Genomic DNA, 12617 nt, shown 5'->3' with positions numbered 1-12617 from the left:
AGTTGATACAGACTTTAGTATTTGAGTCACTATCAGCTTATAATGATTTGTCCTCAGGCAGGAAGGATGGCGGCTGGAACATGAGAATCCGAGCGACCCCCAGACGCCCTTGGTCTTTAAAGGAGTCGTCTTTAATGAGATGAAGGGAGCGTTTGTAAGTTTTCTTCCTTTTTTATGTTGTGTTCAGCTTACCTTTCCCATGTACAATATCATGATATAGACACATCTGGAAGATTTTATTTAATATTCTCATTATAGGTGATACATTCTTGAATTAGCTGGGGTCAGTGCTGTGAGCAGAAGTCGGGGTAGCAGGGCCAGGCTGCTGTTCTTCCCAGCAGGTCTCAGACCATGTCTGGGGACCCCTGGTATGTGATCTGCAGCAAGTCTGTGAGATAAAAGCTATTTTCATACCACTACCAAGACAGTGTCTTTTCATTCATTCTTGCCCAAGTACACGGTGTACTTTCTAGAGGCTGCATGGCAAGGTGTGTGACACACAGCGAGCTGCATACAGAGCAAATGGGGGAGTCCAGCTTCACCTCTGAGCCAGACGCTACAGAGATTTGCAAAAAAGGCAACACAGCACCACTCTAATCAGTTTTTTACTTTGTTATGAGAAGTATTTTTCAAAAATATTTATATCAACATGTAATGATGGCTTACCTTAATGAATAAGTATTTTTTAAATGTCTCAGCTTTAATTTAGAATATAGAAAAATTATATAAACACACACAGGCACCTACACAGGCAAAAACGCCCACATAATCAAAAGCTGTTTGGGTCCTCATTAAAACGCATTTATGCCTAGTGTTCCATTATTGGCACCCTAAGCTTGTGGGAGTTATTTATGTCCTACAGCTCAAGGTCATCGCCAAGGTCTGATTTTTTACAAAAAAATTGCAACCTCAGGCATAAATGGGTTAATTTTTCAGAGTGTAAAGGATTCTTGAGACCATTTTGGATTAAGAGCTGCTGTCCTGGGCCCATGTCTTCATGTCCCTTTGTGACTTGGACAACCTGTCTGTCCTGGTGTCCCTGAGGCTCATGGGTGGCCTGCTCTCTGATTCCCGTAGCTCCTCTCGGCTGGTGAACTATTTCTTACCTTTTCATTCTCAATTTGGTGGTCTTTTCTTCCAAGGAGTCTTCTTGAACTCAAGTTGGGGTGACAGCTTCTCCCCACTTCCCTCACGGCTGGTGGGCAGACCGACTGATCCATCCCGATTTACAGCCCTCAGCTATGCGTTTGTTGCACCACACATCAAAAAATCCATTGTTCTTCTCAATCCTTGGGTCCTGTGCGTGGGTGATGAATGATTGAATACCGTGTTAAACAATGCCTGCGTGGGTGTTTTTTTTTTTTTTTTAAACCATTAGAACAGCTTTATTTGCAAAGTATTACAGGTGTATGCACCAGAATGTGATCAATTGGCTATATTGTAAGTAATGTAACGTGTGTATTATTTTACATGTATACTTATGATTTATTTATTTTACGTTTCAAGACAGACAATGAGAGGATATTCTCCCAGCACCTTCAGAACAGACTTCTTCCTGACCACACGTACTCAGTGGTCTCCGGGGGTGACCCACTGTGCATCCCGGAGCTTACATGGGAGCAGCTTAAGCAGTTTCATGCCACTCACTATCACCCAAGCAATGCTAGGTAATATTTTGTTGGAAAAGTTTGATGGTGGATTGTGAAAAGTTGACTTGTTTGTGTTCTTAACAGTTTATGGCATGGCTTCTCTCACATTTAGCAATGCTTAAGAAATATCTAAGTCTAGGTAAGATTCTTGGCCTAAGTTTGCCTATCTTACTTGGACATTGATTTTGGACATTTACAATGATAGCCCTCAGGAGGCTCAGCATGGTGGTTACAAACACAGCGTTTAGAGTCCCCCAGAGGAGGGTCCTGGCCCCGCAGCCTGTTGCCTCACATCTAGCTTGGTTGCGTGGAAAGTGGGGGTGCATGGATGGTGCCCACCTTGACACGGGGTGTGAAGCTTGAAGCCCTCTCCTTGGCACGGAGAAGTGCTCTTCCAATAGTGGATGCAGTTACTGAACCTTAATTACATCCTCACTTTCTGATACATTGCTTGTTCTTATGTCACTAATACAAGGTCATTATAATAATAATATAGTCATATATCTTATATAAAACACTAATTGTATTTACATATGAATGCTAATGTAAAAACATATTTGCAAGATTATTTTATGTAAAAATAATTATGAAAACTTGAAGCATACAGAAAAGTAGAGATACTAGAATAATGAGCCCCTAAACACTTATCATGTAATAGATATCCTTTCCCTTGCTGAAGTTTTTGGAAGTAAATTATAGACGTCATGATCATTTGCCCGTAAATGTTTGAATTTGTGACCCTAAAACGTGAGGATTTTTTCTTACATGAGCTAATGCCATTTTCAGTTTTAATAGAATAAAACATACTTTCTTAAAACTGCCTATTTCTTATTCCATATTCAGATTTTCTAGTTGGCCCCAAAGTGTTTGTTGCACGGGGTCCCACAGGTCACACCTGGTCGGCCCGGGTTTCTCCTGGGCACCCTCTAGGGGACGGCAGAGGAGTGTGCAGGCCCAGTTTCTTTCTGGCGCACTCACTTTCCAGGTGGCCTGGCTGTTCCCGCCTGGTGTTGGGTGCCATGTTCCTGTGTTTCCTGAGCACTGGAACTTAGATCCAAAGACTTAGTTTGAGTCAGGCTGTGCCTTTGTAAGCAGAGTCCCTCATGGGGAGCTCTCCATAGACGGCCACATCCTACCATCATGTGAGGTCTGCTCGCCTCCACTGGGGATCTCACACCAGCGGGGTCCATGCTGAGAGTCAGCCACTGCCTTGGGAAGATCTGCTTTTTCCCTTCAGCCACAGACCATCTGGTGGGCTTGAGTTTCTGGTGTCCTGTGATAATGAGTTCCTCATCAACCTATTAATGGTTTTCATATTCATTGAGGATTATTGCCTGAATCAATTACTTTATTAGAGTTTGCGAAGTTTTCTAGTTCTGTAACTTCTTCATTTGTTTGCTGGACTTCTTCAAAGAAGAGCTCCACATCAGCTGGGCTATCGGGTTATCTTGAAATATGGTTCTGTGGAAAAGGCAGGGCCGGCTGCTCTCCCTGGGAAGTCCAGTTTGAGGAGGAGGGGTGGTGCAGGAACTACTTTTAATGGTGACAGAAGAGGCTGTCTTGTTTTTTTTTTTTTTTTTTTTTAAAGACAGGGTCTGGTTCTGTCCCCCAGGCTGGAGTACAGTGGCATGATCTTGTCTTACTGCAGCCTCAGCCTCCTGGGCCACCTCAGCCTCCTGAGTAGCTGGGACTACAGGCGCACGCCACCATGCCCAGCTAGTGCTTATATTTTTTTGTAGAGACAGAGTCTCGCCATGTTGCCCAGGCTGGTCTTGAACTTCTGAGTTCAGTCTGCCCACCTTGACCTCCCAAAGTGCTGGGATTACAGGTGTGAGCCACTGCGCCCAACATGGAGAAGAGAGTTCTTTCTTTTCTTCTTTTTTTTTTTTTTCCCCAGTCTTGTTTTGTTTTTTAGTACCACTCTGACCTCACAGAAATATTTCTGTATATGTATATATTTGAGATTATGTGATCAGATGGAATTTATTCATTTTTATGCCCACATTTGCCCCAGCTGTGGGCCCGTTTTGGTCTAACTTCTTTGGTTTCTACGCCCCCACCCCCACCTCCCTAATGCACGCACAGCCGGGCCCTCCCTGCTCCAGAGGTTCAACTGTCTGTTTCCCCAGGGAGCTCTGATTTCTGTGGCTAATGGGGAAGGGTCTTTGGAGAGCAGCATCTGAACACTAGGGGTGGTGATTGCTCCTGGATTCTCTCAACCCCGAGTGTGTAAAATTTGTTTCTAAATTCTAGAGTGAGAAATTTCTGAAGGTTCTGTAAGATACTAGTTTCCCAAACCTTAACCATAGCTCAGGCTATATAGTAAAGAAAAAGATAAATTCTGTCATTGTAACCTTTTTCCTCTGGTTGAATAAATGTGTTATCTTTATAAACGTGTATAACCTTGAATTTGTTGCCAAAAATTGAGTTTTGTGAAATTGTCAGTTGGATTACTATATTACTGTACCTAGGGTTATAAAGTGTTTTAACAAATACCTCATTTGGTTTTTGTCACATCTAGATGAAGTTTAAAATGTAAGATCGATTTTTGGCTAGGTGTGGTGGCTCATGCCTGCAAATCCAAGCACTTACGGAGGCCAAGATGGGAGGATTGCTTGAGGCCAGGAGTTTGAGACCAGCATGGGTAACATAGAACCCACCTCTAAAACTTAAAAATTAGCCGGTCAGGCACGGTGGCTCACGCCTGTAATTCCAGCACTTTGGGAGGCTGAGACGGGTGGATCACCTGAGGTCAGGAGTTCGAGACCAGCCTAACCAACATGGTGAAACCCTATCTCTACTAAAAATACAAAAATTAGCTGGGCATGGTGGTGGGCACCTGTAATCCCAGCAACTTGGGAGGCTGAGGCAGGAGAATCTTTTAAACCTGGGAGTCGGAGGTTGCAGTGAGCTGAGATTGTGCCATTGCACTCCAGCCTGGGGGGACGGGGCGAGACTCCATCTCAAAAAAAAAAACCCCCCACCAAAACCAAGTGTGGTGGTGTAGTCCTGGTAGTCCCGGCTACTGAGGAGGCTGAGGCTGGAGGATTGCTTGAGGCTGCAGTGAGCTGTGACGGTGCCACTGCACTCCAGCAGATGCCTGAAGCCAGGAATAGCACCATGCCCTGTGAATGAACGTTGAATTTATAAATTAGGCACAGCGAGAGGTTAACAACAATAACTAATAATAAAATAGAACAATTATAACAATATACTGTAATAAGTTACATGAATTTTGGTCTCTCGAAGTACCGTGATATTTTTGGACCTTGGTTGAGTAAGGGTGACTGAAACCGAAAGGCGAGACCTTGGGTAAGGGGCACTCCTGTGCTGTGTTTCAGTGAAACAGACAGCACTTGATCTCACATCTTTTAAACTAAAACAGACTAATTATATTCCCTTAAAATTTTAGGTTCTTCACGTACGGTAATTTTCCATTAGAACAGCATCTGAAACAAATTCACGAGGAAGCACTGAGCAAATTCCAGAAAATTGAACCAAGCACCGTGGTGCCAGCTCAGACACCCTGGGACAAGCCTGTGAGTGCCCCACCGTGTTTGTGTCCTTCCTGGTAAATATGTTGACATGAGGACTTGGACTGGGTATTGATGATGGGATTTCAGATGCTGTCATGTTTGGTACAGAGTATGGGAGAGCTTTTCAAGCTGAAAGAATGGTAATTTGTTTGAAAGGAAAGTTAACTTAGTGGAAAGCCTGTTTCGCTCCATTTCGTGTATCCAGATAACCTAGAGTAGTTGACAACCGTCAGACACTGTGCCTACTCACAACGTCACGTCATTTTACAGAGGGAATTCCAGATAACATGTGGCCCGGATTCATTTGCTACAGATCCCTCTAAACAAACAACCATCAGCGTTAGCTTCCTCTTACCGGAGTAAGTATATGCTGTCAAAGCTCATACAAGACAAAAACATGAGGAAAATGTTCCTATTAGAAGGTTCGGAAGTGAGTTCTACAATTGAATGTTAATTAATATACGGTTAGGATTCAGGGGTTAAGTGGATTTTAGGAATAGAGAACAAAATGTCGAAGTTTTTAATAACATCCAAAATGGTTTTTGAGGAAAATCGTTTTTGATAGCCCTCCGGAAGAAAAGTAATTTACTTATTGTATTTCAAAGCTTTATTCCTACAGAGAAAAGACTGCCTCAGACCAGCAGGTGCTCACATTTTGAGGTCACAGGTCCCTTTGAGTGTGAGAATGGTACTATGAACATGCACCTCGGCAAAATATATCACATACAAAACTTTGTAATTCCGGTGGTTTCACGAGACTAGGTCGGAACCATGCCCGGGGGTGTTCAGGAAGGGAAGGCTTGGGCTCTGGGCCCTCCCGTGCTCAGCCTGCAGCTCCGTGGCTGGCACCTCTCCTGGCTTGTTCCTTGTCTCCTTAATGGTGCTGCCACAGTGCCTGTGATTTAAATCACGTGTGAAAAGTGCTTGGCAGGCTGTCCCATGGTGAGCATTTCGTGTGCAGTGAAGTTAATTTGATGGTTTGTGCCCCCCTTCAAAAATCCCGGTATTTAAGGAAAATTCTCTTCTGCTCATAAAATTGTTAAATGTTGAAATGCAAGAATTTCTAGAAAGATGTGTAGTGGTTTTAAATAAAATGTGCATAAGGGCCAGTAATTTTCCCTTTACTCTTTTCTTACCTCCCCGTTCCTTTTTTTTTCAATGCAGCATCACCGACACATTTGAAGCCTTCACATTAAGTCTTCTGTCTTCACTCTTGACTTCTGGGCCCAATTCTCCCTTTTACAAAGCCTTGATTGAATCTGGCCTTGGCACAGACTTTTCTCCTGATGTTGGGTGAGTTTATGATTAGATTAGATCAGTAGTTCTCATTGGTTGGGGGCAGTTTTGCTCCTCCACCTCCGCACCCTGTCCCGGCCCCACACTTGACAGTGTCTGGAACATTTTTGGATTTTTGATTGCTATAATCGGAAGATGGCGGACCAGGAAGTTGCTGAGTGTCTCATGGTACACAGGATGGCCGCCCCCATCAGGGAACTCTGGATGAGATCCTGGATCCAGTGCCAGCCATTTGTGTCCCCCCAAGGGGACATTTGTCCAAAAGAAAAACACCCAGCACAAAGACAGCTTTTCCAGGGCCTCAGAATGTCATGCTGTTGTCTCTTACAGGTCAGGTCATTAAGTATTAGAATTTTTTTTTTAGATGGAGTCTCTCCCTGTCGCCCAGGCTGGAGTGCAGTGACGCGATCTCGGCTCACTGCAAGCTCCACCTCCCGGGTTCACACCATTCTCCTGCCTCAGCCTCCAGAGTAGCTGGGACTACAGGAATTTTTAAAATTTTGTAAATCTCAGCAGTTCTCTGTTTTGATATTTATCCTGCCATAACTCAAAAGTTTAAATTTTATTTTTAAAAAATGATGTAAAAATGACATGGATGTACACAGAACCAGTTACTTGAGAACACTGCTTTAATGAGCTTTTCAGTGGAGGGGCTGGAGTTTAAGGCGCTTCGTTCTGATCTTTAAATCAAGCATATTACGAGGGCATGATGAACGTGCCCGGATTCCAGTGCATCATTTCTGGTTTTGTCTTCTAGATATAATGGCTACACGAGGGAGGCCTACTTTAGTGTCGGCCTCCAAGGGATTGCGGAGAAAGACATTGAGACCGTCAGAAGCCTCATAGACAGAACGATTGATGAAGTAGTTGAGTGAGTGTAGCTTGTTTGTAACAATCTGCTTTCGTTCCTCATTCCTGTGTGCTTTTTGGGAGAAGCTGAGCCTGATCCATTGTTTCGGCCTTCCTTCTCTGTCATATAACATGCTTTTGTTCATATTTAGTTGTTTAAATATTATCTCTGCTACCTTCTGTTACTAAAACTCTTCAACATCTTAGGTTTTTGTTTTGTTTTGAGACAGGGTCTCGCTTTGTCACCCAGCCTGCTGTGCAGTGGCGTGATCTCAGCTCACTGCATTTTCCTCCCCTACCAGGCTCAGGTGATCCTTCCACCTCAGCCTCCCAAGTAGCTGGAACTAGGGTGCACACCACCATGCCCAGCTAATTTTTGTGTAGTAGAGATGGGCTTTCTCTGTGTTGCCCAAGCTGGTCTTAAATGCCTGGCCTCAAGCAGTCCTCCTGCCTTGGCCTCCCAAAGTGCTGGGATTACAAGCATGAGCCATTGTGTCTGGCCCATCTTTGTTCTTCATTGTATTCTTTAGGAAAGGATTTGAAGATGATCGAATTGAGGCTTTACTTCATAAAATTGAAATACAGATGAAACATCAGTCTACCAGCTTTGGGCTGATGCTGACATCAGTAAGTGATCTCTCAACAATTTTGTTTTTGTTTTATAATAGACATTTTGTCTTGTTACTAGCTTAACTGGCTTTTTGATATTTTTATGTGAAATAGATTACTTTAAATGGGTAAGGGTTTATAACTAGTAATCTGTTGGTTATTTCCTAAACATTATTTCAGCCTGTGCTTTTTATTTTATTGGAACAAAACAGGGCTAAAGTAAGTTTTTTTGTTTCTCCATCCAAAGAATTACATGACTTTTGTTATAAACAATCATCTGTGGTATATTTAAATACAGAAACTAGGATTTTAGTATCAAGTCTGGGCTGTTGGTGGAGGTTGTACTGTGGTACCAGCTGCATTGTGGATGTGGAAATCTTCCTTCCAGTACATAGCTTCTTGCTGGAACCATGATGGGGACCCTGTGGAGCTCTTGAAGTTGGGAAATCAGTTAGCTAAATTCAGACAGTGCCTGCAGGAAAATCCAAAATTTTTGCAAGAAAAAGTAAAACAGTATTTTAAGGTAAGAAAGTTGGATAATTCATTTCTCTAATTTTGAAGTTGAATTTTATACTAATGAAAGGAATATTAGGAACATAATCTATACATTTAAGTAATTTCTGTTAATGGGTGACTTAATTTCTAATTAAAAATTTAAATGCTTACATTAACTTAATTATTTTCCAGATTGTAATGCAAGTTGAGTTTTTTAGATAAATGTATATGTGCATTTTTAGTGTGTGAATATATGTATGTTTGTGTGTATGAACAAAACATCTGCATATATTGTTCTTTTATTAGTAGAAGAATATAAAATATGTGAACAGTCACCCAAATGTAATGAATCTTCTGGTTTTCATGAGTGAATTCTTTTGATGCTTGCGCGTTTGTTTTCTCAGATTTTTAGGCAGTTGTGCTTGGTTGCCTGTTCTTTGCTTTGTACTCATTACTATGGTAGAACTTTTAAAAAGGGTTCCCGTGGTGGGAGAGACTGTTGTCTGCTGTGAAGGGAAACTCTCCAGTAGGTTCCATTGTTTTAGACATGAGATATGATTTAATAATTTGACCTGCAGTTTCTCTCAGCTGTTGTAAGTTATTTTCCATGAACTTTCTGGTGTCTTCTAGTTATCTCACCTGTTTGTAGTATTTTATATGGGAGCATTTTGTGCATGTGTAGTTTTTTAATTGTTGAAACAAGGAAAGGACATGAAATCACCTAATGTTCATTTTTATATTAACGTCAACATGTATTTTGTTCTAATAACTTACGAAGTATTGAATGGGAAATGTAGTTCTAGCCTTTTAGAGCTTAATAGTAGAATGAACGCTAGACAAAAAATAGAATTCTATATTATCTTCAATTAGACTAAAATCCAAGATCTGTAGTACTTGAAAGTGCAAACCTTTTTACAACTAAGATGTAATGAAAATGTTTAGTATTGATATGTTTAAGACTTAATGACCATAATAATAATAACAGTAGAATAACAGCATATATGAATTCTGTGCTTACTACATAGGCAGGTATGGTGGTAAGCATTTTATAAGGCTTGTGTACTTGCATCAGCAAAACAACTCTTGAGGTGCGTTCTATTATTACTATTTTTAAAGTGGGAAAGTGGAACCACAGGACCAAGAACACACCAGCAGAAGCTTGTTGAGTGTTAGGATATAGTAAGATCTTGTTTTCACTTGGCTTTTGTTGTTGCTGTGATTGCTGCAGAATAACCAGCATAAGCTGACTTTATCGATGAGGCCAGATGACAAGTATCACGAGAAGCAGGCACAGGTGGAAGCCACGAAGCTCAAGCAGAAGGTCGAGGCTCTGTCCCCCGGAGACAGGCAGCAGATCTACGAGAAAGGTCAGAGGCTTCCTTCCGAGCTGGCGAGTCCCTAACCTGCACTCGGGCCTAGTGGACTTGTTAGTGAGTTAGTAGTTGGAGGCAGGTATTATTTCAACCAACAGGTGTCCGCTGGGCGCCAACAGAGCTCACGTTCGATGCATTGAGTTCAGATATTCTCAGAAAATCGCCCGTGTAGCTCAGTAGGAAACGCAGGAGTCATTGAAAAGAAGTAGCTTGAAAAGATGTATTTATTTTACAGATTTTGTAAATACTTTTATCAGGTGCCGTAATATGCCAGTACCATTGTTCTGCTGCAGTGCGTGTTGCCTGGCCTGTGAGCAGAGTGGACAGTTGAGAGCTGTGTGTTGGGAAGAGGCCTGTCTCAGGCATACCGGGTGTGTGCCAGCCACAGAGCAGCACCAGGATTCTGTGGGACAGGCGTGAGGCACACAGGGATGGTGGAGCGGTGGGCATGGAGGGAGGACAGCGTGTGTGGGGGAGACAGGTGTGCCCTGTGGCTCTGGGGAGGGCCTGTATGGAAGATGGGGAGCACACGGGTGCTTCATGTATTAAGGCAGGAGAACTGTCGGGTCAGTGAGCAGTGTAGCTGCAGCCTCATTCAGGATAGTTTTGCAGAAAAATAGAGAAATTGGATGGAGAAAACTGCTGAGAGGCAATTAGACACCTAAGCATGACATGACGACCTAGGCCAGGATGGTGGGAGTGAAAAGAAAAGTGAGACGGGGATTGGCAGCCGCTGGGGGAGCAGCCGGGTGGAACGAAGGAAGGGAGGAGGCCACGGGAGAGAAGGGGACCCAAATGGATTCTCAAAGGTAGTTTGGCCTCTGGGAAAAAACATTTGCAAAAATGGTGTCTGATAAAGGCCTGTATTCAGAATATACGAAAAACGAACAATTCAGTAATGAGAACACACAACCCAATTAACACATGGGTAAAAGATTTTGACAGATATCATCTAAGAGTTCCTAATGGCAAATAGGCACATAAATCATTACATGGGAAATAATCTCATTACTTTCTTAGGGAAATGTATCATAATTATTAGAAAAATGCAGATTAAAACTACAGTGATATACAATTATACACCTACTAGAATGACTAACATTTTAAAAATTACTGCCAGCACCAAATGCCATCAATCCTGAGAGGCAGGGGGAATGCTCACATGCTGCCAAAGGAGCCAAAATGGTGTGGCCACCTAGGAAACGGGGTCACAGTTCTCACAGTGCCAGCCAACATGCACGGACCAGGAAAGCCCCGCTCCTAACGTTCCTTCAAGAGAAATGAAAACAGGCGTCCGCACAAAGCTTGAAACAACCCAGATTTCCATCAACATATACATCCTTACAAAGAAATGCCACTAGCTGTGAAGGAGCGCAACAATGATGCACGCTTGGTATTGGTGCATCTCGAAGCTTCCCACAAAGGGAAAGAAGCCGGGTGCCAGATGACATCCTGAGGCCATTCATGGGAAGCCTAGATGTGGCAAAGCTGCAGGGACAGAGAGCAGATGAGAAGCTGCTGGAGGCCCAGTCGGGGTGTGGTTGACTGCAGTGGGGATGGGAGAGTTTTGGGGTGCTAGAAAGGCCCAGTACTATGATGTGGTGGCTTCATAGCTTGCCACAGTTGTCAGAACTCAGTTGAGTCTTTAAAATTGTGAATATTATTGCTTGTAAGTTATGTATTAAGTCTTTTAAAAATAGATGCAACACATACACACATGCACTTACTTTTCCTATTAAAAAAGCTAATTGGGCTGGGATTCTGTGAGAAATTGTCAGGCTTGTCAGGAGGTAAGAGTGGACGTTAGGTGGAAAGTAAGTGACTCCATTTTGATCATGCTAAGTTTGAAGTTACATCATGTAAAAGAAAAATTAATGTCAGTTTGTAACCTGCTCTTACTCTTGCTATCTGAATTCTTGTTTAGAGACAACTGGTTTTTTTTTGTTGTTTTTTTGGTTTTTTTTTTGAGACGGAGTCTCGCCTTGTCACCCAGGCTGGAGTGCAGTGGCACGATCTCGGCTCACTGCAAGCTCCCCCTCCCGGATTCACGTCATTTTCTCGCCTCAGCCTCCCAAGTAGCTGAGACTACAGATGCCCACCACCACGCCCAGCTGATTTTTTGTATTTTTAGTGGAGACTAGAGACAACTGTTTTAAGCTCTATTTTTTAACCTTACTCTTTTTCCCCCCTTATTAAGCTCTGTTTTGTGACAAGCTCCAATCTTCCCGCTTTTAATTGAAATTATTCATGACTACACAAGATAATTCCATGAGTAGGCAACAGGTTGTACGTTTCCTAAATTACTTCATATTCGTGGCCTGGCCTCAGAGCTGTGCTTTAAGAAAACCCCGTATACTGTAGTCCAAACCAGTAGGTTAATGAGCAGTGCTCACACTACAGATTTCTCCTTTACACACTCGCTGTGTAGCTCTTTGAAAGGAGGGCACAGTGCTAGTGCATTGAATGGTTATTTCAGGTCAGTAAGTCTTCAAGTGTGCATGGCAGTGTTAGGGTTCTGTGAATTAAAAGCCAATCTGTAGAGAACAACAATGCAGAAAAGGGGAATGGGAAACTATGTAGTAAAAGCTTGAATCTTCCGATTTCTGGTCTTGTGTGTGTCTTAAGCACTGTGAAGGGGTAAAGCCTCCACCATCAGGGAGTGTGTGATGTGCTGAAAGAAAACAGAGAAGAGAAAGTGCCAGAGGCTTTTTCTACCAACTGTGAGTGAGTGCATTCAGAGAAGGAGCCCTGGATGTCAGGGTAGCTGTGGCGTGCTCTAGCGCAGGTGGGCCCAGGGACCACGGGGGAAA

At 42.9% G+C, this 12617-nt stretch overlaps 1 protein-coding gene across 15 annotated transcripts in view; it reads left to right on the top strand.

Moving 5' to 3' along the window:
* The window catches only part of PITRM1 (pitrilysin metallopeptidase 1), a 35115-nt gene that overhangs the window by 7450 nt on the left and 15048 nt on the right, over positions 1-12617 (top strand). For 14 of the 15 annotated variants that reach the window (NR_144638.2, NR_144640.2, NR_144641.2 and 11 more), the window contains 9 exons: positions 58-154; positions 1507-1667; positions 5062-5188; positions 5456-5544; positions 6350-6478; positions 7239-7352; positions 7861-7957; positions 8328-8462; positions 9663-9801. Coding sequence is in view for 11 of the 15 variants with exons in the window: in NM_001347730.1 (NP_001334659.1) it covers positions 58-154; positions 1507-1667; positions 5062-5188; positions 5456-5544; positions 6350-6478; positions 7239-7352; positions 7861-7957; positions 8328-8462; positions 9663-9801 (1088 nt within the window). In the remaining 4 variants the exon portion in view is untranslated. The remainder of the gene's footprint in view (positions 1-57; positions 155-1506; positions 1668-5061; positions 5189-5455; positions 5545-6349; positions 6479-7238; positions 7353-7860; positions 7958-8327; positions 8463-9662; positions 9802-12617) is intronic. The other variant, NM_001347728.2, reaches the window with a different exon arrangement.

Source organism: Homo sapiens, chromosome 10, assembly GCF_000001405.40.
Source record: "Homo sapiens chromosome 10, GRCh38.p14 Primary Assembly".
Lineage (NCBI taxonomy): Eukaryota > Metazoa > Chordata > Mammalia > Primates > Hominidae > Homo > Homo sapiens.
This window is presented reverse-complemented; position numbering and strand designations above follow the sequence as displayed.